This window comes from Homo sapiens, chromosome 2 (genome assembly GCF_000001405.40).
Source record: "Homo sapiens chromosome 2, GRCh38.p14 Primary Assembly".
In the NCBI taxonomy this organism is placed as follows: Eukaryota; Metazoa; Chordata; class Mammalia; order Primates; family Hominidae; genus Homo; species Homo sapiens.
This window is the reverse complement of record NC_000002.12, coordinates 190,151,343-190,178,877: the sequence shown is the minus strand read 5'-3', so window position 1 is coordinate 190,178,877 and position 27,535 is coordinate 190,151,343. Positions and strand designations below refer to the sequence as shown.

Sequence of the window (27,535 nt, the reverse complement as noted above, 5' to 3'; positions counted from 1 at the left end):
TTCTTGATGTGATCTAGGCAGAGGAGACACTTAGAAATTTGTGTTTTTTACTTCCCAGTTACCAGGTCAGAAGGAAAGAAAAAGTGGGTGAGAGTCTCTGGCCTCCATCAGAAGAGAAACCCATAAACTTGAAAATTTCTTTCACTCAGTTTGAGAACAAATTGGACCAGCCTTTGGTCTACAGATGAAGCGGGCCATGAGGGAGCGAGGCCTACACACCGAGCCAAGCTGCTCCTGCCAGGCTGGAGCCTGACCCTTCCTTCGCCATCATAGGGCTGGCCAAGCTGGTGGGGGAGACCCAGGTCAGGTCTGGCAGGGATGACTAAGGGAGGACCTAGCCCGTGGCCTCTGCCATCTGCCCGGCTGCCCTCATGGGTGTGCACTGGAGAGAGTAGAGCAGGAGGGACAAGCCTGGGGCTGGTGGGGAGACCGCACCACCACCCTTCTGTGAGTGGCCCTCTCTGCTCTCCTCTCTGTGGGGCCTCTCTCAGGTCCAGGCCAGTGTGAACAGGTACTTGCAGGTTGGGCCTGGAAAATAGCCTTGACTTCTCTCCTCAGGACTGCAGGCCATGCTTCTGGTCAAGATGGTGCCATGTAAGACTTGGAGGGAAGATGCGTCGAGGGAACTTGGCGCCCTCTGCCCCTGGGATTCGGGAAAGCTGGCTCTCCTCCCAGCTGCCCAGCCTAGAACTGGGAGTCAGGGCATAGCATTTCTGCCCCTCTGTCCTCACCTGGGCTTGAACAAGGATAGAGGCAACAGGAACCAAGAACTCCTCAAACTGGTGGTGGCAGAGACAAACTGCAGGATTTTGAAAGTGCTGAGATAACTTTTTAAAAGCTGGGGAATGAAGTGAAAGGGGTGACGAAGGACCCAGCGATGGCCTGAGGTGAATGTGGTTAGGGTGAGGGGCCGTAGCAAGTGTTTAGTGGTTTTGTTTTCTCCAGAGTTCATAGAAGTAAAACTCATAAAAACAGCAATGATAAAATCCTGGAATTTGAACATAAGCAATCTCACCCTAGGGTCCATGCTGTTGACAGGAAACAAATACTGAGCTGGATTGAGGATTGCATTTTAAATAGTAAACTTGCAGTTAGCAGAATCAAATCAAGGCACTCACATACTCTTTGCTCTGTAAAGAACTCCCATTTCCATCCCCAGCCCCATAAAACTTCCACGTCAGACAGACAGACCACAGAGGTACATAGCTGACTCCCGCCACTGGTTTCTCTACTTAAACGAGCACCTTTAACTTCCATTTTTGCCTCAGGCAGACCAGTCAGAGCTTGCACCTCTGGGAGAAGCAAGGGAGGTTATGCCGGCGAGGCAGAAGGGACCTCCTTTCTAAAAGTACTCTAAGCAGTGAGATGATGTGGCCTTGTCAGGAAGGATCCGGGCCCTGGGATTCACTTGTCTGCCACTGGGGCTCTTACAAGCATATCAGAGAGTCAAATGTCTCAGTTGGTTTTCTGATAATGAAGTGGTGAGGACTGGAGAGGGGGATGGCATAGTTTGCGAGTGTTCATTCACATGGAGGCTAGAGAATTCACGTACGCTAGAGAGAGGTAACGCAAATCACAGAAAAGATTTATAAAGAATAGAAAATGACACTAACTCCCCACCTGCTCCCACCACCTCCACCCCTACCCCTAGAACTTATCTCAGGTTACAAAATAAGAAGCCAAAGCCAACTGAGTGGGTAGAGGAAAATGTAAATGCAAACAAGATAAACTTACTGAGGAGACAGAAAAAAAATACCATTATGGGATATGAACCCTGATAGAATAGCACATAGGTATGACCATTGAGGAAACTCATTTTTAGATTCTACCTCTTTGTTTCTCATATAATAACAGTCCACTGGTCTAGGGAAAAAAAAAATCTTTTAGTGGTTATTGGAAAACATGGCTATTTCTTACATATATTTCTCACTGATTCAGGTTTTATGTGCTAGTTTTTGTGTGTTCAATCTAAAATGGCCTCTCCAAAACAGTGAACTTACCTCGTATTTGCTAAGATTTTATTCGGATTTGGCTGAGAGGCCCAGATATCTTCTCTGAGTAGGCAACAGACACATTTTCATGTCAGACCCTAATTAAGGCTTTAGGATACAAAGCTTTAAAAATTCAGAAGCAGAAATGGTGTATTGATTCTTTAACACTTTCTGTAACTCAAGACACCTAAAAATGTTTCTTGATGAAGAACTAGGAGTGGGTATGAAAATGATGTCTTGGCCGGATGCCGTGGCTCATGCCTGTAATCCCAGCACTTTGGGAGGCCAAGGCAGGCAGATCACGAGGTCAGGAGTTTGAGACCAGCCTGGCCAACATACTGAAACTCCGTCTCTACTAAAAATACAAAAAAATTAGCCGGGTGTGGTGGCAGGCACCTGTAATCCCAGCTACTCCGGAGGCTGAGGCAGGAGAATCGCTTGAACCTGGGAGGTGGAGGTTGCAGTGAGCCGAGATCACACCATTGCACTCCAGCCCGGGTGACAGTGCGAGACTCTGTGTCAAGAAAAAAAGAAAATGTCTCATACTTTACTCCTGAAACTTTTCCTGAACTATTTTTTACTACTCCTAGTTGTTTCTATGCCCAAGCAGGCTTTAAAACCTTGTTGTGAACCTTAATGACACTGTGGGAAAGACCTCTTCTTGTTTACCATTTTCCCAGAATCAAATTGCAAATCATTAGATTACCTATATAGCCAAACAAGTGAAAATGTAAACCTACCAGCAGAGTTGCTGTTCTAGCCCATTCTGTGCTACTGTGACAGAATACCTAAGACAAGATAATTTTTAAAGAACAGAAATGTGTTTTCTCACTGCTCTGGAGGATGGGAAGACCAAGATCATGGCACAAGCAGGTTTGGTAGGTTTTCTGGTGAGGGCTGGATCCTCCAGAGGTGGGGAACCCTAGCTAAATGCCACAAGAAGCCTCGTTTAAAGGGGTTTTAATCCCATTGACAAGGGAACAGCTCCAAAGGCCTAATCACCTCTTAAAGGCCCTACCTCTTAATCCTATCACATCGGCAACATCTGAATTTTGGAGGGAACATTCAAACCATGGCAGTTTGCCATTATAATATTTTAATATATATCATGATATGCTTAAAAGCTCTTATGAATTAAATTTTCCAAATGGTACTGTAGGCCATTGTAGTCTTACTCATTATGTCACTGAAGTGAGAAGTGATTGACATTATCTTCCTTATGTGGAAGACAAAAATCAAATAGCCCCTCCAAGCTTCTCACTCCTGAAGAAAAAAATTCTTTAGTTTTTCTCACAGAATTTCCTTTACTCACATTTTGTTAGGCTGCTCTAGACCCATTCTGGTTCTCCAGGTGTAACTAAATGTCCGGCAACCCAAACTAGGGAATAGTTCCAAATAAGAGTTTAATGCAGAGCATGAGACTATTGTGGAATAGTATCTCCTGACCGTGTAATGTATAATCCAGTTCTGTTCATTATATTTACAACTATATAAGCTGTCAACTATACCATCAGTCTATTTCTTCTCACTTGTTTGGTTCTTAAAGTTGTTCTGCATTCCTTTTTGTGTTGAGTTTGGTCTTTAAGTTTACTGATGTGCATCTGTCCGTAAACAAGCCTCATCTTCCTATACAAGATCTGTCAAAAGATCTTTACGCTGAACTTAAGTACATTTTGAAGTCTTTAAAGCATCATTAATAGACACTATATTTCTATGGTATAAGTAGATTTAACAATCCCCAAAGAGGTAGACGTGCCTGGAAATAAATAAGCGTCTGATTTTGTTGTTGTTGTTGTCTTTTATGGTTACCTATATTTATTCTACCACCCCTACCCCCACCACCAAATTCTGAGCATCTTGAGGATAGGAACTATGTACTCCATGTAATCTATGTATCTTATGTGCTTATTTCCAACACCTGACACAAGGAAGGCATGAAATGTTTGTGGAGTTGGGCATGATTCTTTGCTTTGGTGCTTTATATAATTTCATCTCAGTTTAAACAGAGAAGAACATTACTGCTTGGGCCCATGAATCCAAGCTTCTATAAGTCTTCACCTGCATTTATTTTGATAACCATTTTTGGCATCAAGATGGGGCCAACTTTTATTTGCTTACAAATGTGAGTATAAGACATTGTTAAAAGTCATATAAATACTGCAATAACCATTGGTCCAAAATTTGCTATTTCAAATTTCATATTATATTGTATGTTCTGTTTTTTTTACTTAGGGCATATGTGCCTTTCAGTATGAGTCACTTTCCATTGTTTCACTGCCTTGGGTGTTAAAAACAATCTGTCCCAATTTGATCAACATAGTTTAGCTTCTCCCTGGAATTATGGACTTTCACATATTTATTAGCTCATGATTTTTAAATTAAATATTTGACTAATATACCTTGAAAGGGGGCATAGCCACATAACTGAAGACATTAGAATATTTATCCTGAAGAAGTTAAGGAGAATGAGAAGAGAAATCTGAGGGGTATTCATATGGACAAGGGACTGTATTTAATCTGCGCTGCTCTGATGGGCAGTACGAGAACCAGCAGGAAGAAGTCATGGCAGTGTTGGAAGTAAATGCTCAGTGCCACCAAGTGAAAACAGTCCTCAGGCAAAAGTTTTCTCAGCAAGGCAATTTACTTCTATAGAAGGGTGTGTTTTGTGGATGGAGCAATGGCGAGAGCACACCAGACACGGTGGGGGAAGGGGGTCTTATTCCTAATGCAGCTAGTCCCTACTGCTATGTTTTTCCCCTATTGGCTAGGGTTGGACCACACAGTCTAAGCTAATTCTGACTGGGCTATTTTAAAGAGAGCAAAGGTAGGAGCCGGAGTGGCAGGGTGAGTAGTTTTGGTGGGAGGGATGGTTACAGAGCAGGTGACTAAGGATGACTAAGGACAGAGCAGGTGACTAAGGACAGAGCAGGTGACAGAAGCTAGGAGGGGGTTGTTTACTGAAACTAGGGGCAAGAAGACGTAAAGAACAAGAAAGTCAGACTTTAAGATGGAGAACAAAGAACAGGGAAGCTGAACATACTGACATATTGGTTCTTTGGAGAGAAACTCAGAACTCACTGTACTTAACAATTTTCTCGATCTTGAATTTTAAAGGAAGTTAACAGGCTAAACTTTGAAGAGGAATTTACTGTATCCTCCAGCAGGGAGTTCTGGATTTAATTAAGAGAGGACTGTCTATTGGTTATAACTTAGAAGACGATGGTCTGGTTTGTGAAATGGTGAGCTTCCCTTTCAACCAGAAGTCAGATGATCTATCTGGGAAGCTATGAGGGAGATTTTTACAAAGAATAAAATTTCTCAAAGCCAAGATTCTATCATTTTAGGAGTTGTTTCACAATATAAATTCACGTGCACTTGGCATTTGAACTACATTCACCCCAGTACTACAGGCATTATCTTGACGTCTTACAGTGTATGCCCTCTATGAGGACAGAGTGAGTTCTGCTGTGGTCCTTGGCTAAGGAGGCAGCTTTCAATCTTTTGAACATTTTTTCTTAGAGAGCAAACCAACTGCCAAATGTTGAATGAATTGGTACTCATGAATTCCAGATAATTCAACATAAGAAACTATCTATGTACGAATATTTTATGGTTTGTGATATTTCACTTAACTGCTAACCTCATCAGATGTAGTAGAGAATTAACTCTAACTTAGAGATAATAGTTACTATTTATTGAGCATCTACTATGTGCTGAGAACCATAACAGCCCTTCACATGCCATCTCATTTTTATTTTATTTTATTTTTTTTGAGATGGAGTCTCTCTTTGTCACCGAGGCTGGAGTGCAGTGGCATGATCACGGCTCACTGCAACGTCTGCCTCCCGGGTTCAAGTGATTCTCCTGCCTCAGCCTCTGGAGTAGCTGAGATTGCAGGTGCCCACCACTGCACCCAGCTAATTTTTTTGTAATTTTAGTTGGGACGGGGTTTCGCCATTTTGGGCAGGCTGGTTTCCAACTCCTGACCTCAGGTGATCGGCACGCCTCAGCCTCCCAAAGTGCTGGGATTCCAGGCGTGAGCCACTGCACTTGGCCATGCCATCTCATCTAATTGTCACACTAGCATTGTGAGGTATGTATAATTTCTGTTTTAAATATGAGAAAATGGAAAAAATAAGGTAACTGTTAATATGTGCTAGAACTTGAATTTGAACCAGGCCTGAGTCCAAAGCCAGTGCTCCTTCTATTATTCTGTGTTGCTTTCCAACATCTCAGGTGTCCTCAGAATGGCCTGCTAAATCTGGCCCTAGTTCTGGGCAGCAAACCTCCTATCTAATTCCTAATCCCTTAATTGTCATGAGCAGTATCCATTGTAAAGGTATGGAGATTTGAAAAAATGATGGGTTGTCAACAAAACTGGTGGACTTCTGATGGTAGAATATTTGGCTTGAATAGGGTGATAAAGTATTCAGAACAATGATATTTTCTAGGTTTTCTGTGTTTCTGGACAACGATCTATACCATGGATGTTATATTTCATATTACATTGGCAATTCCAACATAGAGCCAGCCACAGAGATAAGATAGTTATAAAATAACTAAAGTATAGCTATAAGTAAACAAACTAGTAAATGCATAATAGTGGGAGAGGACAGAAAATACTGTAAAATGCAAATAACAGGAGGTCAATGAAAAGTGGGTAAGTTTGGATCTGAACCATGAGACAATCCTACCATTTAAATTGTTGAAAGAAGGGAATGAGTGCATATAGCCTATGCCAAAGAACAGGCGTGGCAATGAGCATGGAGCAGATAGAATACATATGGATGGGAAAAAAATGAGTCTATGAGAGAATAACTAGCAAGGCATGTTCAACCTGCTGGTGCCAAGCTAGGGTGATTTGTTAAGATAAGGAACAGACACCCGTTGAAAATTCTTAAATTGTAAAAATGATGTAAAAATTGTTCTTGAATAGATCTAGGGTAAATTTGGCAACTCTGAACATGTGGGTAGAGATCAGTGGCATGAACCAATCATGCCACAGAAATCCAGATGAAAAAGTATATTGACCTGGCCTACCGTAATGCCTGAGACAATAACAAAGAATTCAAAGAAAATGTTTTGTTTTCCCCAGCAAGTTATTTTCCCCCCATAAACTTAGTCTATTTGTGGGTATTCTTGCCACTAACTACCAAGATCTGAAGCTCTTAAAACTTAATGGAAACACTGTCCATTGAATTTAAGTATTTTGAGTAATATGAAATTTTTTCTGGCCAAAAAAAGAGAAATAAATATCCACCAATTATATATTTATTGAGTAGAGTTGAAGAAAAATGGAATCACGTCAGTGCTCAGTAAAGCAAGGTAAGGTTATTAGCTGAGACTGAGAGAACTAAGAATTTTAGAGAAAGGCTTGTATTTTTTTGAACTTACAAAAAAAACTTTACAATGCAGATTGATTATACTTGTAGTCAGAAAAAAAGTCCAATAAAATGATTTTCATTTTGAAAAGTTGAATAGAATAGTTTTGGAGGACCTCTAAGAAAACCATGATCATTTTAAGGGGTTGTTAGGTGGGAATTAGCTACTAGTGCAGTTTTCCTACCTCTTTTGGCTTCATTTTCAGGCCTTCCTTCACCTTCAGTAAAATATTTTAAATAGTATGAGAATTGCACTGTTTGTTTTTTTTTTTAACTTTTTTTCTATTTTACTTGCATTTTGTAATAAAGAATTGGAATTATGGTTACAAGAGGCAATTTATGGATAACCCATGCTCTATATGAAAGGAGAAAAGTGCTTGTTTGATTGGCTTCCTAGAGGTCTTTCTAAGAACCCAAATATACTTCCTGGTTTTGAACTAAATTACCATCTCAATTTAAAGGACTAGCCACCAATTAAAGACAGTTCCTGGGAGCCCATCAGATAGTTAAATTAAAATTTTATTTCCCAAGAGAGTGGTTAGCTCAGTTCCAGAGAGTTCAATTCTTGAGACATTGCTACTTTATCTGATCTAAGACTATCCAGTTTTTATGTACAAGGAAGTTCAATGTACACAGTCTCTTATCAACATTCCAGACTCCCAACCAGCCTGATCTAAGAACTGAGTGTGACTCTGCACATCTAATTTACAAAAAGCGATAAGAAAATAGTGAATCTAACCTCTTTACCACAATACATCATCCCAATTTGAGATTACATGTGAACAATTAGGCTGCTGTCTCATTAAAAAAAAGCTTCATAGGAATTTCTACGGTTAATATCAGTTATCTTCTCTTTTCTAAGAGCAAAATTAAAACCCATCAATATGACATAGTCCATCTTTGGGTCCTGGTTGGGGATGGGGGATGGGAGGCAGCGGGTGAGGAGACAGAAACATAAGGAAACTAACATTGCTGGGATTGAATCCCCAACAGTAAAAACCTGAAACCATGAAAAACAGGTAATAATATATGCATATATAAAGATGAAGAAACAGTTCAGAGAGCTAAGTATGTCTCTTCCCAGTTCCAAAGTTGATGGTCCTGGCAATATGCCACTGATGGAGAAAATCTGTACCACATCTGATAATAACAAATAACTCAGCTAGGATTCAGCCTTGTAAGTCTATGATGGCCTAAGTGTGTTCCCCCCTGCTCCCAAATTCATATGTTGAAACCCTAATCCCCAATGTGATCATATTTAGAGATGGGGCCTTTGGGAAGTAATTAGGTCACGAGGGTGAAGCCCTCAGGATGGAATTAGTGCCCCTATAAAAACAGAAACCCAAGAGCCTGCTTGCCCTGGCTCCTTGACAGCCCTCACCAGAACCCAATTGTGCTGTCGCCCATGATCTCGACTTCCCATCCTGCAGAACTGGGACATAAGTTTCCATTGTTAAAGCCCACCCAACCTGTGGTATTTTTGTTACATTAGGTTCGTGCAGAAGTAATTGCTGTTTTTGCCATTACTTTTAATGGCAAAAATACATTTTAACAGCTCTTATCTTATGTTCTCATCTTCAAGGACAAACAAGTGTCTTGGCAGGCTTAATTTCAAAACAACCTGTACCAGTTTAAGGCTATTAATACTTCTCCCACAGAATCACATCTGATAAGTCTTGCCACTTAAAGCCATTTGTTCTACTCTTAAAGCATCCAGCTAATATGCTGTATCTTAAGCCCAAACCAGCTAAGCCTAATCAGTGTTACCATGTGGAGTCATGCTAACCCGAGTCCCCAAAGGCAAATGCATATTACCTCACTGAGGGAGTAGCTGATCATATTTCATAATGCTTAAACATCTTCTCCTAAAATGTGGTGGAATAGGAAATGCAAATATCCAACTTGGCTTCCCTGTTATTTGTTCATAAGAAGCCTGGCTACCTAATTCTCTAATGTCAAATTTTGGACCTTTTCTCTATCTCATAAATCACAGCAAGTGTTAGTTACTCTGTTATCAGTGAAACTGAGAAGGTCAGGCCCTAATCTTCCGTATCTTTATCAGAGTGCCTCATGCTCTTAGTGAGATAGTCCCTCACATTCAGACCACCTCACCAGCTTGAGCTGCAGGATACAAAAGACTATACAGGAATGCTATATGATATGGTTTGGCTGTGACCCCACCCAAATCTCATCTTGAATTCTCATGTGTTGTGGAAGGGACTCGGTGGGAGGTAATTGAATCATGGGGGCAGGTCTTTCCTGTGCTGTTCTCCTGACCGTGAATAAGTCTCATGAGATCTGATAGTCTTGAAAGTTTCCCTGGACAAGCTCTCTTTTCTCTTGTCTGCTATCATGTGAGATATGCCTTTCACCTTCTGCCATCATTGTGAGGCCTTCCCAGTCACATGGAACTGCAAGTCCAATAAACCTCATCCTTTTGTAAATTACCCAATCTCGCATATGTGTTTATCAGCAGCATAAAAGGACTAACACAGTAAACTGGTACCAGTAGAATGGGGCACTGCTGAAAAGATACCTGAAAATGTGGAAGCAACTTTGGAACTGGGTAACAGGCAGAGTTTGGAACAGTTTGGAGGGCTCAGAAGAAGATAGGAAAATGTGAGAAAGTTTGGAACTCCTAGAGACTTGTTGAATGGCTTGGACCCAAAATCCTGATAATGATATGGACAATGAAATCCAGGCTCAGATGTCTCAGATGGAGATGAGGAACTTGTTGGGAACTGGAGCAAAAGTGACTCTTGTTATGTTTTAGCAAAGAGACTGGTGACATTTTGCCCCTGCCCTAGAGATCTATGGAACTTTGAACTTGAAAGAGATGATTTAGGATATCTGGTGGAAGAAGTTTCTAAGCAGCAAAGCATTCAAGAGGTGACTTGGGTGCTGTTAAAGGCATTCAGTTTTATGAGGGAAGCAGAGCATAAAAGTTCAGAAAATTTGCAGCCTGACAATGCGATAGAAAAGAGAATTCCATTTTCTGAGGAGAAATTCAAGCCAGCTGCAGAAATTTGTATAAGTAATGAGGAGCCAAATGTTAATCCCCAAGACAACAGAGTGGGGAGGGCGGTGGGGGGGTGGGGGTGGAATGTCTCCAGGGCATGTCAGAGGCCCTCACAGCAGGCCCTCCCATCACAGGCCCAGAGGCCTAGGAGGAAAACATAGTTTTGTGGGGCAGGCCCAGGCTACCCATGCTGTGTGTGGTCTAGAGACTTGGTGCCCTGCGTTCCAGCCACTGCAGCCATGACTAAAAGGGGCTAAGGTATAGCTGGGGCTGTTGCTTCAGAAGGTGGAAGCCCCAAGCCTTGGCAGCTTCCACAGGGTGTTGAGCCCATGGGTGCAAAGACGTTAAGAATTGAGGTTTGAGAACCTCTGCCTAGATTTCAGAAGATATAATGGAAACACCTGAATGTCCAGGCAGAAGTTTGCTGCAGGGGCAGGGCCCTCATGGAGAACCTCTGCTAGAGAAGCGTGGAAGGGAAATGTGGGGTTGGAGCCCTCACACAGATTTCCTACTGGGGCACCACCTGGTGGAGCCGTGAGAAGAGGGCCACCATCCTCCAGACACCATAATAGTAGATCCACTGACAGCTAGCACCGTGCACCTGGAAAAGCCACATACACTGAACGCCAGCCCATGAAAGCAGCCAGGAGGGAGGATGTACCCTGCAAAACCACAGGGGTGGAGCTGCCTAAGACCATGGGAACTCACTTCTTGCATTAGCATGACCTGGATGTGAGACGTGGAGTCAAAGGAGTTCATTTTGGAGCTTTAAGATTTGACTGCCCCGCTGGATTTTGGGCTTGCATGGGGCCGGTAGCCCCTTTGTTTCAGCCAATTTCTCCAATTTGGAACAGCTGTATTTACCCAGTGCCTTTACCCTCATTGTATCTAGGAAGTAACTAACTTGCTTTTGATTTTACACGCTCATAGGCAGAAGGGACTTGCCTTGTCTCAGAGTCTCATTTTGGCTGTGGACTTCTGAATTAATGCTGAAATGAGTTAAGACTCCAGGGGACTGTTGGGAAGGCATGATTGGTTTTGAAATATGAGAACATGAGATTTTGGAGGGGCCGGGGCAGAATGATATGGTTTAGCTGTGTCTCTACCCAAATTTCATCTTGAATTCCCACGTGTTGTGGGAGGGACCCAGTGAGAGGTAACTGAAACATGGGGGCAGGTCTTTCCTGTGCTGTTCTCGTGGTAAGTCTCATGAGATCTGATGGTTTTAAAAAGGGGAGTTTCCCTACCCAAGCTCTCTTTTCTCTTGTCTGCCACAATGTGAGACGTGCCTTTCACCTTTCGCTATAATTGTAAGGCCTTCCCAGTCACATGCAACTGTAAGTCCAATAAACCTGTTTCTTTTGTCAATTGTCCTGTCTTGGGTATGTCTTTATCAGCAGTGTGAAAACAAACTAATACCCTATATTTTTCTTACATTTTGGATGGTATCCTAACTTGCTGAACTTTCAATAATTCTAATAGATGATCTATAATTTAAAAATTTTCTATGTAGACAATGTTCCATCAAATAAATAATTGGTCTTTCATTTCTAGTCCTCATGTCATTCATTTTTCTTTCTTTTTTCTTTCTTTTTTCTTTTTTTGCTGGCTATAATTGAATAGCAGTAGCAATGGCAGAATTATTTTTGTTCCTGCTTTTAAAGGGACTATTTCCATGTTTTACTACAATGTTTGTTGTAGGGCTTGGCAGTTAAGAAAATCAGATCAAGGAAGTCCCATTCTATTCCTAGTTTTCTAAGATATTTTTTATGAATGGGTGATTTTTTAATGCTTTTTTCCATCTGTAGAGATAAGCAAATGGTTTCTCTACTTTGATCTGTTAATGTGATAACTTATATAGATTTTCAAGTGCTAAATCATTTATTCATTTCTAGAATAAACCAAACTTGGTTGTAATTCTTTTTAATACATTGCAGGATTTGGTTTGCACATGTATTTTCTTATTTTTGTATTATGTTCATGAGTGATATCGACCTATAGTTTTTAAACAGTTCTCCTGTATTGGTATTAATGTTATAATGGTTTTATAAAATGAGTTGGAAAGCACTCCATTTATTTTAGTCTTTGGAACAGGTTATATAAGATAGGAACAATCTGTTTTGCAAAAGTGTAGCAGACCTCAGCAAAAAAAAAAAAAAAAAAAAAAAAGAGTGGATTTTTTTTTTTTAATTCCTTCACATAGTCAAGTTTCACACTTGCTGGGTCAATTTTGGAAATCTTTATTTTTCCAGAAGATTTCCCATTTTCCCTGAGTTTTAAAGTCTATCAGCATTACATTGCTCATTTTATTCTCTCATATTTTAAATAACTGCTTTGCATATTTCTCTTTTTTACTTATAATATTAATTTCTTTGTTCACCAGTGCTTCTTCTATTATATTCCTTTGTTCTAGATTTAAGTTACTTCTGCAGTTAGTACATCATTTAGTAATCTTTCTGTCAAGATCTAAGTGGTAAACTCACTCTTTTTCTAAATACAACTTTCTTTGACATTCTTTCTGAAATATTTTAGCTGGCTAGGAATGTTCCCTTGGCTCTTTGAAGATATTATTCCATTCCTTCAATTCCTTTGTATGTAATCTTTATAGTTTCTTTAATATTCTTTCTTATATTTGGTGCTCTAAAGTTTTATGTGTAGGTATGGGTGTTTAATTATTCTGTTTGGAATTTGTTGAGTTCCTTAAATCTGAGAATTAATGTCTATCATCTAACATAAATACTGTTCAGCTATTATCTCTTTGACTATTGCCTCCCCTCATTCTCTCCTCCTGGAACTCCTCTCTGACATATGTTGGACCTTCCCATTCTACCTTCAATGTCTCTTAATTGCTCACATTTTTCCATCTCTATATCTTTGTGCTGCATATTGAATAATTTCTGTAAATTGAAAGTTCTATAAATTGTCTTCAGCTATGTCTAATTCTCAACTTAGCTCATGCTTTGGGTTAATTTTTGTTACGGTATTTTTTTTCATTTCTTGAAATTCTATTTGGTTTTAGTTTTTGTTTTGTTTTGTATTGTATTGTTTTTGAGATGGAGTCTCGTTCTGTTGTCTAAGCTGGAGTACAGTGGCAGGATCTCAGCTCACTGCAACCTCTGCCTTCCAGGTTTAAGTGATCCTCCTGACTCAGCCTCTCGAGTATCTGGGAGTACAGGCGCCCACCACCATGCCCAGCTAATTTTTGTATTTTTAGTAGAGATGGGATTTCACCATGTTTTCCAGGCTAGTCTCGAACTCCTGACCTCAAGTGATCTACCTGCCTCAGCCTCCCAAAGTGCTGGGATTACAGGTGTGAGCCACCAGGACTGGCCTCTATTTGGTTTAAAATTTTTAAATTTAATTCTAATGCTAATAATATAATCAGGGTTCTGGTTCTTATAAGATGAAGTAAATGCTTCTGGGATTCTTTTATACTGTAAATGAGAGGAAAACTTGAGACAACCACTTTGGGAAATGTTTAGTATTATCACCTAAAGCTAATACATACCTATGATGTGACTTAGAAATGATCATTCTTAGATGTATAACCAACAAAAATCATGCACATGTACTCCAAGAGATAAGACTATCCATAGCATCTGTATTTACAGTAGCTCCCAAACTGGAAATGCCTGCTAGCATTAGAATATCTGGCAAATATTGTGCACTCAAGGAATGTAAGTTTTATTTTTATTCTTTTTTAGCCTATGAAAGTTTTTCCATATTTTGTATATTCCAAAAATCTGCCCATCTGAGAACTAATAGCATTCCTCTAAAATATCAGATTAAATATATTTGAAAATGACTAAATAAAATAATTCTTAACTGAAGCATTATTAAAAATTTATGGTAGATTGAATCACTGAAAAAAATTTATTTTCAAGTACCAATATTCTAAATAAATTATAAATAAATTTTATTTGCCTTTAATTAATTAACTTACTTATTTATTTATTTGAGACAGAGTCTGGCTCTGTTGCCCAGGCTGGAGTACAGTGATGCAATCATAGTTCACTGCAACCTCCACCCCACGGCTCAAGCAATCCTCCCACCTCAGCCGCCCCAGTAGCTGGGACCACAGTGCCACCACGCATGCCTAATTTTTTGTATTTTTAATAGAGACAGGGTTTCACCATGTTTCCCGGGCTGGTCTCAAATTTCTGAGCTCAAGTGATCCGCCCACCTCAGCTTCTCAAAGTGCTGGGATAACAGGCATGAGCCAACACATCTGACCGATTTGCCTTTAACAGGCATACTTTTATCATACTGTAATAAAGCCTTTTCTTCCTATTGAATTGCAGGACTAAGTTTTTCAAATAGATATCTTGTAAGGAGATGAAACAATTTTTAAATGTATTTTTTCACTATAAATCACCAATTAACCGATTCTGTCTCACAGTTAAAAGTAAGAAAACCCTGAAGTTACCAGGTTCACTAAACTGTCTCCACCAGTCGGTCTCATTCAGTAGCTGTGAGCCCAATATATGGTTTCCGTGTAGATCACAGTGCCTTACTTTTCAGTGCTTCTCATGCTCCCTTTCTAAATGGAGGCTGAAAAAGATTTAATAGATGCAATCTTAATCCTAAAATAACTGGTTTAAAAACTTATACAATGCAAACATATGAGTACATGGAACTTAGTATAATGTTATTGGTTAAAATTCATGCATATTCTTTCTGGAAAATGGGGAAATGGGTCATTGAGCTCGTAACAAAGGGCCTAGTTATACTAAGTCATTGATTTAGATCTTTCCCCTATCTTCCTACTACATTTTATGTATGTATCCATAACAATAAATAATTATAATAAATTGTTTGCATTTAGTATCCTCACTCAAATGGCAGAAATGATGTCTTCTAAGTATTTCCAATTCCTAGTTGAGTGCCTGGTAATTAGTGGGAACTCAAGATATGTCTGTTAAATAGATGAAAACTAAAGGAAGTTATAAATATTTTAGGAAGTACTATGAATTTCAGGCTAAGACCTCAGATTTGTAAATCACAGGGCAAGACTCAGTTTTTTTTTTTTTTGTTTTTTGTTTTTTGTTTTTTTGAGACGGAGTCTCGCTGTGTCTCCCAGGTTGGAGTGCAGTGGCGCGATCTCGGCTCACTGCAAGCTCTGCCTCCCAGGTTCATGCCATTCTCCTGCCTCAGCCTCCCAAGTAGCTGGGACTACAGGCGCCCGCCAACACGCCCGGCTAATTTTTTGTATTTTTAGTAGAAACGGGGTTTCACCGTGTTAGCCAAGATGGTCTCGATCTCCTGACCTCGTGATCCGCCCGTCTCGGCCTCCCAAAGTGCTAGGATTACAGGCGTGAGCCACCGCGCCCGGCCAAGACTCAGTTTTATAGGACTTGATATCTCCTGGATGACCTAATAAAAATCTAATTTCTAAAACTATAAAGTTAAGAAACACATCGGTTGCATAATGTTTACATCAAGATGATCCAATAATCTGGCGAGGTCAATCCTGAAACAGGCTTACTCATATTTAATATAATGCACTCCACTTGCTTTTTAACAGTATTTGCTTATATAAGAACTTTTATTCTTTTCTTTTGGGTGGAATATGAAAAATAGATTTACTCTCAAATATCTAGACAAATATATAATTTCTCAGCTTTAAATTTACCTTCATTTTTTTTCCAGGCAAGAAATATTCTCATTAAAATATCTCCTAAAAAAAATTGCTTCCATGTGCTCAAAGTCTTAAATAAGAAAACTCCAAAGGAATCCTCTGATATGTCCATCGGAGCTTAAGTTTGAATTGTATTTATTATTGTTAAACCTTAAATAAGGCTCTTAAATAAGCAGCTTACTATTTTCCTGGTATTTTATTAAGTAAACATGGGAATATTATCATTTCAGTTTTACTGATGGAGAACCCAAAAGAAATAAATCCTTATTGCCTTACCTCAATAGTCATAAATGTAGTAGCAGAGATTACAGTAGAATTTGCTTCTCTCTTTTGTGAGAAGCATGGTATTGTTTTTGTGGCACTATTAGCAATTATACTTTTTTTCCAAAGCTTATTTTCATTGACTTTTAATTACAAGCTTCTCTTTTGTATATATTCAACGTTATTTTGGGCCTTGTTTTCCTTCAAAAGATTTTAACTCTGTTTTTCCCCAACTTAGACTACTATTACCTAGAGTGGCTGGGGAGAAGAATATTCTGCTTAAACAGAAAGTTATAAAATTAATATGTGTATAAGCAATTTAAAATATTACTGTATTACAATTTTTAAATTACTCATATTTACAAAGATAATAACTTCTCTATTTCCTATAAGCTATCCTAATTAATCTTGCTTATGAATCTTCTACTCTACTAGATAGTCATAAAGAAGGTAAGGGTAAAATTATGAGAAGAAAACACGTTTGCTCACATAATCATCTTAATCCAGAGGTATTCTCCGGATTTAAATGTCATGTCCTTTGCACCAGAAAGGAGCATCCTAGGTCACAATTACTTTGAGGAAACTTGATTAATAGAGATGTCAATTATAAACTAGGTGAAATGTCTACCAAAAATAAACACCTTGATTTTGGGATAGTTGATCTGAAGCCATGTTCTTTTGTCTGGCAGTGATTAGAGAATAGAACCAGTAGTCTCTAAGTCACTCCTAGTTCCAGATAATAAACTCATATCATCTGAATATGGGTCTTTTCTTTTTCGTGGCTGAGAGGGAAAAAAAATGAATGCAACTTGTTTATCCAAAAGTAAGTCCAGAACACATTCCTATTTAATGAACTGGCAAATATTTTCTGATCCAACAAGAGAATACTTCTACTCCTCAGTTCCTGCTTCTGCATAAGCGTCTGTAACAGGGGGATCAATACTGAGCTACTGCATTTTGTCTTATAACTGATTTCTAAGCCAGGAGTCAAAGGCTGTCGAAAGGTCAACAAAAATAAAAAAGAAGGATATTTTGTGTTGAGTCTAAGAGATCTCTCTATAAGATGACATGACAATAGTAAATAATGGAATGGTTATACCTAGAGTCTACTTACTTGCTACTTGTTTAGAATGTGGGCCTGAGAAGCTGGGATGTGCTGTTTATGGAAAATAAATTTGGTATGATTTTAGATGCCTATTAATAGGTATGCTACTTGATAGGGTAAAGAAATGCCTTTTAAAAGCTGGTATAAACTACATTCTGAGTTCAGGCCTACTGGACCATCCATGTAGGACTGATTAAGGCAAATAAAGTGACAAATTAATATGTCACTGCAGGAAATGATATATTGGTAATTTCTGGAGGCAAGAATTTCCTAGCATGAGGTCTCTCTTCAAGCACCAGCACAAAGACCTTACTGCAATTCATGGAAGCCTCTTTCCACTATGTATATTTTAGAAAAAAAAGTTTAATTTAATGATGTCTAATAATCCAGAGAACTATGTTGAAACTCTGGTTTTGGCCCTAAAAATTTGGGGAGCTTTAAAAAATATTCCAGTCTCTTAGAGACAATTTGCTTATCTATAAATCAAGGATTTTCTAATGAATCATCTAAGACCAAATATAAAGTTACACTTAGCGTTCTTCATCTGTAAGTACTCGATTAGATTTCATTTAAAGCAAGTATGACTAGACTTTCACGTAAATGTAAATAAGAAAATGTCACTTATATTATGAATTAAAAGTTACTTATCCATGCAATTCTTATACTTTATCTGTCTTGGAATCTTTCAAACATTTATTATCCCTCATACTGAAATCCTTTTATAGTTAATATTTAGTATCTGTCTTTAATTTTTCAAAGTTTCTTCTTTTTTAAAAAAAAATCGCAAATTGAGAAAGAGAGCTAATTACTTAAAACATTTTGCCTTAATATCACTTTCCTGAATCAGTGTAGGTCAAAAGTCTAGTCATACTTTCATTAAATGGGAAAGAATTATATCCCAATATTCCAATTTGTTTCCCATTCCAAAAGCTAAAACATGAGTTTCATTTAGTCATGTTTTATAAACCTCATGGGAGAAAATAAATTTTAAAGTCTACCCTTTTAGCACAGATAAGCTATGCAATTTTCATAAGAACAATAAACAAAAGGCCAAGAGACTAATATTTGGGTTTGGCATTTTGAAGTAGGGATCACGAAAGAGAAACATGGACGAATATTACTATGACCATGGTTAAAAAAAAAATCTTATTCTAAGCCTAGTGCCATCCAGACAGGTAGGAAAATTAGATAGGAGTAGAGTTTGGGGATATTAGAACAATGTCCAATAGCAGCCCATAAAATGACCATGTTATTTACCTATTCTGAGACCATTAAATATGTAGTTGTTTGCAAAGCAACTTAATTTAAGAAATAGAAAGAAAAGATCAAAATAACCTAAGATTGAAAGTCACATCAAAACTAGATCCATGAAAACCTCAGCTAGGTCGTGATTGTCCCTCTTAAAATGCTCATAACTTATATCTTCAAAAATGAACTTCCCCTGCCTGTATCTAAAGAAATGTTTCAACTCTACACTGAAATACTAAAAGAAAGTATTTGGTAACGTTTTATTGGCAATGACATTTTAAACTCATAAAATTGCTTTCAATTTGGCATTGGCAAATTCTAGTTCATAATAGCTTAATGTTTTCAGATACAAAGACAGCAGTTTCAAAAGTTAAAAGAACAGAAATTTAGAAAGGGCCAACAATGGCTCTTAAGAATGGATTGTTGCAACTTGTCTTTTCACATACTTTCTTCATTGGCTTCCATGTATGCCAAAAGACTGGTTTTGTGAGTCAATGAATTCAGCCTTTTTTCTTAAAGTGATCTCTCAGAGATCACAGAGCTACTGGCAAGCTCTGTTAGTTTACATCATGTTGGCTAGAAGAATGTGGTTACGAAGCAGTCATCAGCCAAGGACCTTAGGGACGAGAGAACTTGGAACACTGAGCTTCACAAAACAAAGGGAGCTCAAAGAAATGAGTCTCACTCACAGCCAAGTATGACAGAACCACAACACTCTAGCAGTCCGCATCCCAAGTTGAAGTAGGGCATGTCCTGAATTCAGGGAAGAAAACCAAAAATCCCCAGAAATTGAGTCTGAAGAGTTTAACTCATAACCAGAGAGTAGATGTTTTATATTCACAAAATAATCATTGTAAGTGATTATATAGACGGTGAGAATACAAAGGCTCAGCACAACAGTACTCATCAACCCAGAACTCAAGTGAGCCTCCTGGGGGACTTTGCCCTTCTGCTCCACCACTGTCACCATGCCCATATAACAAATACTGGAGGCAGGTCCAAGTGCCTGGGACCCTTAGGCAGTTATGGCACCAATATAATTTGTACCTAGTTGGGTGGAGGCCAGTCGCTACTAATCATAACTTTCCTTTACAGGGAGAAAGGCAAGTGCCTAATCCCAGCTCAGACCTCCTACCTTGTCTAGTTCCCTACGCCCTTCTGCATTTTCTCAGCTTTGGTGACTCCCACAATTATCCTGCATCACAGCCCCTTCCACTGCAGCCTTTGGAATCCTAATCCCTTGCTAATCAACTTCCTGCATCCTCATCCTGTCTTAGAAGTCTCTTCACCTCCAGGCCCTACAGGAATCCTGGGCCTCCCCTGAGGATAGCCCTTCTCCTGCAGCCTTCTCTCCAAATGGATAGCAACAGAAATTCTCCTGCCCACTCCCAACTCCAAACAGGGATGTTTCCCCTGCTTCTGTGAGGCTTCTGCCCTGTGATCATATCTGTTCTGCCTCATCACTTTTAGATCTGCCTCTTATGCATGCTCTGCCATTCAGGGAGAACTTTGGGACCTGGGTCCACTATTTCTCTGCACCACAAAGTCTGCATAATGCCAAGATGATGATAGCCAGGGAGAACAGAATCAAAAAAGAAAAAAATCTCTTAAATGATAACGTGATACTATGAATCCCCTCAGGAATTTACAATTTAATCAATATCATTAAAAGTAATGTAAGTACAGCTTGTTTATGGCAAAATTCATTTAAAGTATATAAATATTTACATAGAATCTATATATAAATTCTTACCATTTCCTATTCAATAGGTGAAACACACTGTTAAATTTACTTCAAATTTGTTAATGTGAGAAATACGTCACCAATTTTTTAAATGAAACTGCTTGCTTGAGAGGTCTGCATACACTGAAATATAGACTGAATTTTACTTCTGCTAAAAACACCCTGCTTTTGTAGCAGGACAAGCCGCAGACAAAACCTCTCAGACACTGAGTTGTATAAGGAAGGGCTTTATTCAGCTGGGAGCATTGGCAAGCTACTGCCTTAAAATCCGAGCTCCCCGAGTGCACAATTTCTGTCCCCTTTAAGGGCTCACAACACTAAAGATTTTACATGAAAGGGTCGTGATTGATTTGAGCAAGCAAGGGGTACGTGACAGGGGCTGCATGCACCAGTGGTCATAGAGAAACAGAACTGGGCAGGGAGTTTCACAATGTTCTTCTATACAATACCTGGAATCTATGAATAACATCGGTTTCTAAGCCATGAGTTGATTTTTAACTACTAGGTTTAGGCCAGGCAGGCCCAGGTCTGATTTTGGGCCTGGCGCCGGGCTGCCTGTCTTTGATTTCACTTCCTTGTTTTTTTCTTAAAACAGGTACTGAGTATAAAACAATATGAGAGGGTCTCTCTCTTCCCTCACTTTCAAGACCTGATGTTTGGAGCATTACATTTTAAGTCTTATATGTAATAACTAAACCTTTTCTTGTTAGCATTAATTTGTTTTGAGTTCTAGAGACATGTGAGACATAGTCTTGAGGCGAATTTATAAGATTGTCATTATTATGTCTCCATTAATGTAAATTTTTCCCACAATGGATATAGTCTCCCCTTCCCTCAATTATCTGTGCTCATTTAAAAAAATAGTTAAGTAATTAAAAACAAAGGTAAAAATAAAAATCATATAAAATCTATCCCCCATCAGATAATCATGAAAGGTGTTCATTCCTTTATACATAGCTTTATGAAATTATATCCATAATTTTTTTACCATGAATAGTAAATGTAGTTCTTCCAAAAGTTAAAATGTTAACAACCTAATATTTAACCTTCTTTTCTGGAGTAGAAACCTATTCTAGATATATAGCATCCTGTGATATGTGTGTGTGTGTGTGTGTGTGTGTGTATACAAGTTTAGGGAGTCATTTGTTTTATAATACTGTGATCTTATTTTATATACTTCTCTGTATTAAGATTTTCATACTGATGAACAATATATTTCAAAATGTCTCCAAATCTACTGGCATAAAGAGAAAATAGAGAGATTTTGAATGTAGTTCTGTGAGGCCTTGGGTACGTTTTTAAAAACTCTCTGTGCTTCAGTTTCCTACCCTGTAAAATTATTACCACCTACCACATAAGGTTGTGGTGAGGATCAAAAGAGGGCCTAGCTCAAGGGAAGTCCTTAATAAGAACCGAATTGATTTCTTTTAATGGTTGTATGATACTAATGATATGAGTATGCTGTAATACAGTATATTGAGCCATTTGTCTACTGAGGGGCACTCACTCTGTCTCCAGTCTTCCATTAGTACAAACAATGATGCAATAAACATAAATGTGTGTATGCCTTACCTAGTAGTGATTTTATTTCCATGGGATAGATTCCTATGATGGGATAGGTAAATGTATTTTTAATTACAATGGATAATACCAGATTACATTTTTGAAAGACTGAAACAATGAACATTTCCACATATATGAGAGTACTCTTCTCCCCAAACCTTTTCAGCAGCAATTTTCACTGTCAATTTTTGCTAGTCTAATGGCTATGACATGATATATTGTTGTTATTTTATTTGCATTTCCCTCACTCCCAGCAAGGCTGCGCATGATTTCATGTTTATTGGCCATTTGGATTCCCTTTTCTGCAAATCTAATTTGCCCGTTGTTTCTTTTTGGTTATTTATGTTTTATTCATTTGTAAGCACTTTAGTATAGTCCAAATCTTCTCTATCATGTGTTTCAAATAAATAATTTCCCCTAATTTATCATTCCCTTTTTAAAATTTTTTCAATAAAGCATAGCATTCATTTTCTTTTGATTTAAATTTAATCGTCTGTCACACAGATTTGGAAATTATGTGTGTCTTGTCCTTTATAACTTCTAGGTCCTATCTTGGTTAATCAACAATTTGAAGGATGTTTGTATGTATATAAAATCTATTATTTCATTTTTCTTTAATCAATCTGGAACTTATCTCAATATATTAATACTTTTTTTCCAGATTAATAGGATGTTGGATCAGCACTATTTTAAAAATAACCTATCTTTTCTCCTTTTAACTGAAATACCATTTTTATTAAATATCAAATATCCACATGTACTGGGTCTACTTCTGAGCCCTCTATTCTATTCTTCTGACTTATCTTTTTTTAAGCCAAAACCAAAGCCTATAAGGAGGTCACGATATGCTCCAATCTAGTGAGGCAGGTCACTCCTCACCAGTTTTCCTTTTTACATTAATTATTCCATATAGCCTTTAAGATCACTTTATCCAATTCCCCAAAACCCTAGGCAAATTTAAATTAGAATTGTATTACATTTACTTGATTTGGGGGAGCATTCATGTTTTTATACTAAGTATACCTAAAAATTTATTATTTAATGTCCTTATGTATCATTCTATTATTTTTCAGGAGGTCCTTTAAAATTTTTTTCCTCTTTTATAGCTTGTTGCTAGCACAGAGAAAAATATTTTTAATCTATCCACCTTTGATTAATTTCAACCTTAGTATTCCAATGACTATTCTAAAGCTCCTCATTGTTCAAGCTACTCTCTTTCTCACTAGACATTCTTACTTCCTACTTCATTAAAAAAATTGAAGTTATTAGCTTTCCAGACTCCTGTCTGCACAATCACCTGTTCATATCAGTTCTTAGTACCTTTTCCTCCAGTCTTAAAAGATGAAGTTTGTTTCCTCCTGGTCAAGTCCAGGCTGCATTGATCCCACCCCATTCAGCTTCCTCTAGGACCTTACCCTCTTCTAGTCTAATCTAATAGTTATTCTATTCATTATATTGTATTAATTTTGCCCCCTTCTTTTTTTCACCTACCACCTCTGCTTCCTATTTTCTTTTTCTTGTCTATACTTTGCACTTTATTAAATTCTTTCTTCCTGTGGAGAGGCTCCTTTAATGATATCTTGGCCAGATTCTGTAGCCATTCAGCCATTTTCAACCATCAGAAATACTTTATTCTGTTGTTAGTTCTTCTCCTACCCTCCCTTAACTTAGGCAAAAGCTGTGGTTCTATCAGCTTAGAGTGAGAATGAAGGGCAAGGGTCTGGTTCCCAGATACCTCCTTACTCTCTCTGTTGTAGCTCTTCTGTAATTGGGGCAAAAGAGGGGAAGGGGGGAGAGAAAATGTCCCCCTCCTTGACTGGAGAAAGTTGGAGCCCTCTATGTTGGCTGTCCCTGCTTCTGTGGCTAACACTGAATAGCCATCCATGTACTCTGAGGAGCACAAGTTCAAATGCTGGCTTTCTCTTCCAGTGCATGTATGGTTCTTAAGTAAGCCTTAGAAAAGCGGTGGGAGTGTCTGCCAACTGCACATTTCACTCAAGTAGGAGACCTGCCTCCAAACACAGATCTCTTCTACACTCCCCAGTTAGCTCTTACACAGGCAGTCCACCTCACAGCCTGCAGTAGGTCTGTTCCCTACCCAAATGGCCACAGTATTGTGTAACTTCTCCCTAAGAGTGAAGTTTATTTCTCCTCTTTGAATCTAGACTGCCAGGTAACTTGCTTTGGCCAGTGGAACATAGTTAGATGTGAATTTTGGGGTTTGTGTGCATGAAATAAGTCATATACTTCTATCATAAAGCAAAATGTAGCCCTGTCTTGTATACAAGAGACACTTCTAAGACAATGCAACTCAATTAAGATAACAGTATGAGCAAATATGAACTAAAATAAAGCACAGGCAGTGATTTTAATCAGTAAATATAGAACTCACACCCAAAAGCGATTTATAAAGACTTTTAAAAAATGCTAAGTATGAGAATTCACAAGGAAGATTAGTTATGAATATCTGTGTACCAAACAGCTTAGCAATTACTTGCATGAAGTCAAAGCTATAGAATATACAAGGAGAAACAGAAATACACTAAAAATAAGACAGATTAATTCACTTTCCAAACTAAAATACAGCAAATGATTAAAAAATATGAAATGAAAAGAATAACAGAAACAAAAGGGATTATGAAGCTGCTTTGCACAACTCTGTGCAAATAAATTTGAAAACTCGGAAGATGAAACAAATGATTTTTCCAGGAAAACTAAATCATTCAAAAGTCACCCCAGCAGACTCAGAAATTCCACAGGGGTCAATTACCATAGAAATTAGTAGATTATAGAAGCATAAGCACAATTAAAAATATCAAGGTTAAATGCTGTAAGATAATACTGAAATTTCGTGTTGAAATAGAGGGAAATCCTAAAGAAGAGGTTGCAAAATAGCTTAATTATTGCTTACATATGTTGCAAATATCTCCTCAACCCCCAAATGTACCCATCTCGTCTCACAGAGGAATCTTTAGAGAGTAGGTAATGCTATTTGAACTGTTCCAATTTTAGAAAAATGAAAAATTCCAGACTATAAGTTATAACATTGATGATACTAAAGCCTTATAGACTGCAAAAAAGAATTATCAACTTTAGTTATGAATGTCAATTGAGAAGACTTACTAAAATATTAACAAATTAGCACATTAAGAGAATATACCATGATCAAGTGAGATTCCTTCTCAATGCTTATGTAAGAATGCAAGAATAACTCAATAATACAAAATATATTAATGTAATTTACCATATTAATAAATTTATGATGGAAAATTATTTTTATATTTATAGTTGCTAAAAGGAATTTAATAAAAACCAAAACTATTCTTGATTTTTTAAAAAGCACTCAAAATAAGAATTGATGAAAACATTATACTATTATACATATTTTATCTTAACTTTAAGGCTAGCCCATTTCCTAGTGGAGAAACACTGAAGATATTCTTCCTAAAGTCTGGAACTAGACAAAGATGCCCAAAATCACCACTACTAGTTAACATTGTCTAATTGATTGGCTGTACCTCCAATACCATAGAAAATTAGAGGTATAAAAATTGGGAAAAAATATATTTCTATATTTTCAGATGGTATGATTGTATACCTGAAAAATCCAACAGATACCAAATGAAAATGATTATAAGAAAATTCAGCAAAGTAGCAGGATATAAAATTATTAATACATAGAAATTAATAGTCTTCATATATGTAAACAATGACTTAGAAATAATGGGCAAGTGGCCGGGCACGGTGGCTCATGCCTGTAATCCCAGCACTTTGGGAGGCCGAGGTGGGCAGATCACAAGGTCAGAAGATCGAGACCATCCTAGCTAACACGGTGAAACCCCGTTTCTACTAAAATTACAAAAAATTAGCCGGGCGTCGTGGTGGACACCTGTAGTCCCAGCTACTCAGGAGGCCGAGGCAGGAGAATGGCGTGAACCCGGGAGGCGGAGCTTGCAGTAAGCTGAAATCACGCCACTGCACTCCAGCCTAGGCGACAGAGTGAGACTTCGTCTCAAAAAAAAAAAAAAGAAAGAATGGGCGAGTAAATCCCACATCGATAATAACAAGTGACAAAGTATTAAGAATTATTTAAGAAATGTTCAGAACCTAGAGGAGAAACTTTCTAATAAAAAGGATATAAAAGTTAACTTAGACAAATGTAAAGACTGTGTTCTTTAACAGAAAGACTCATTATCATAAAGCAGTTGTATTACATTGATAAGTTACTAAGGAACAATAATAACAAAAAATACAGATTTTCTTTCCTGGAACTAGACAAACCAATTATAAAATTCCTATGGGGGAAAAAGTGAACAAAAAATAGCCTATGAAATTCTGATAAATAAAAGCAATAAAAGTGCTATTCTTATTAGGGGTTTAAACATACTATAATGCATCAATAATTAAGAATGTAGGATTGGCTTATGAAAAGACAGACTAATGAAACAGAGTAGAAAAAGTCCAGAGAAAGACTTGAATGCACATGGGGATTTAGTGCACAATGAAGACTGCATGCCAAATCAAAGTTAAGATGGACTTTTAAATAAATAAATAGTGTTGGGGAAATGGAGTGGCAAGTTGAAAGAAAAGAAAGCCAGTTCTGTACTCATGCTATGTTATGGGGATACAGAAATAGGCCCAAATGGAGCAACAATTTGAATGTAAAGAAATGAAATGATAAAAGTATTAGAAAACAACATAGGTGATATTTATTAGAATCATGGGAAGACCTTTCTTGCTTAAATTAAAAATATTTTTTAATTTTTTGTAGTGATGGAGTCTCATTCTGTTGCCCAGGCTGGTCTCAAACTCCTGACCTCCAGCGATCCTCCCACTTTAGCCCCTCAAAGCACTGGAATTAGAGGAGTGAGCCATGGAGCCTGGCCAAGACCTCTCTTTGTTTTTTTTTTTTGTTGTTGTTTTTTGTTTTTTTAATTGAGACAGAGTCTCGCTCTGGAGTGCAGTGGCACAATCCCAGCTCACTGCAACCTCCGCCTCCCAGATTAAAGCAATTCTTGTGCCTCAGCCTCCCAAGTAGCTGGGATTACAGGCGCCTGCCACCATGCCTAGCTTATTTTTTATATTTTTAGTAGAGATAAGATGTCACTATGTTGGCCAGGCTGGTCTTGAACTCCTGGCCTCAAGTGATCTGACTGCCTTGGCCTCTCAAAGTACTGGGATTACAGGCGTGAGCCACTATGCCCGGCCTGGCCAAGACCTTTCTAACTATAAATCAAAGTCTGGATAGTTGCTTGGTTTGTTCATTGCAGCACTATTCACAATAGCAAAGACATGGGATCAACCCAAATGCCCACCAATGATAGACTGGATAAAGAAAATGTGGTACATATACACCATGGAATACTATGCAGCCATAAAAAGGAACTAGAGCATGTCCTTTGCAGGGAAATGGTTGGAGCTGGAATCCATTATCCTCAGCAAACTAACACAGGAACAGAAAACCAAATACTGCTTATTCTTGCTTACAGATAGAAGCTGAACAATGAAAACACATGGTCACAGGGAGGGGAACAACACTGTGGCCTGTCATGGGGGGATGGGGAAAGGGAGAGCATCAGGATAAA

General features: G+C 38.2%; 1 protein-coding gene across 5 annotated transcripts in view; it reads right to left on the bottom strand.

The window, feature by feature from the left end:
* The window catches only part of AKAP19 (A-kinase anchoring protein 19), a 323,923-nt gene that overhangs the window by 24,607 nt on the left and 271,781 nt on the right, over positions 1-27,535 (bottom strand). For 4 of the 5 annotated variants that reach the window (XM_047446008.1, XM_047446009.1, XM_011511983.2 and 1 more), the window contains one exon: positions 14,818-14,942. The exons of the other annotated variant lie outside the window; for it this stretch is intronic. The gene's annotated coding sequence lies outside the window, so the exon portion shown is untranslated. The remainder of the gene's footprint in view (positions 1-14,817; positions 14,943-27,535) is intronic. 5 annotated transcript variants of the gene reach the window in all.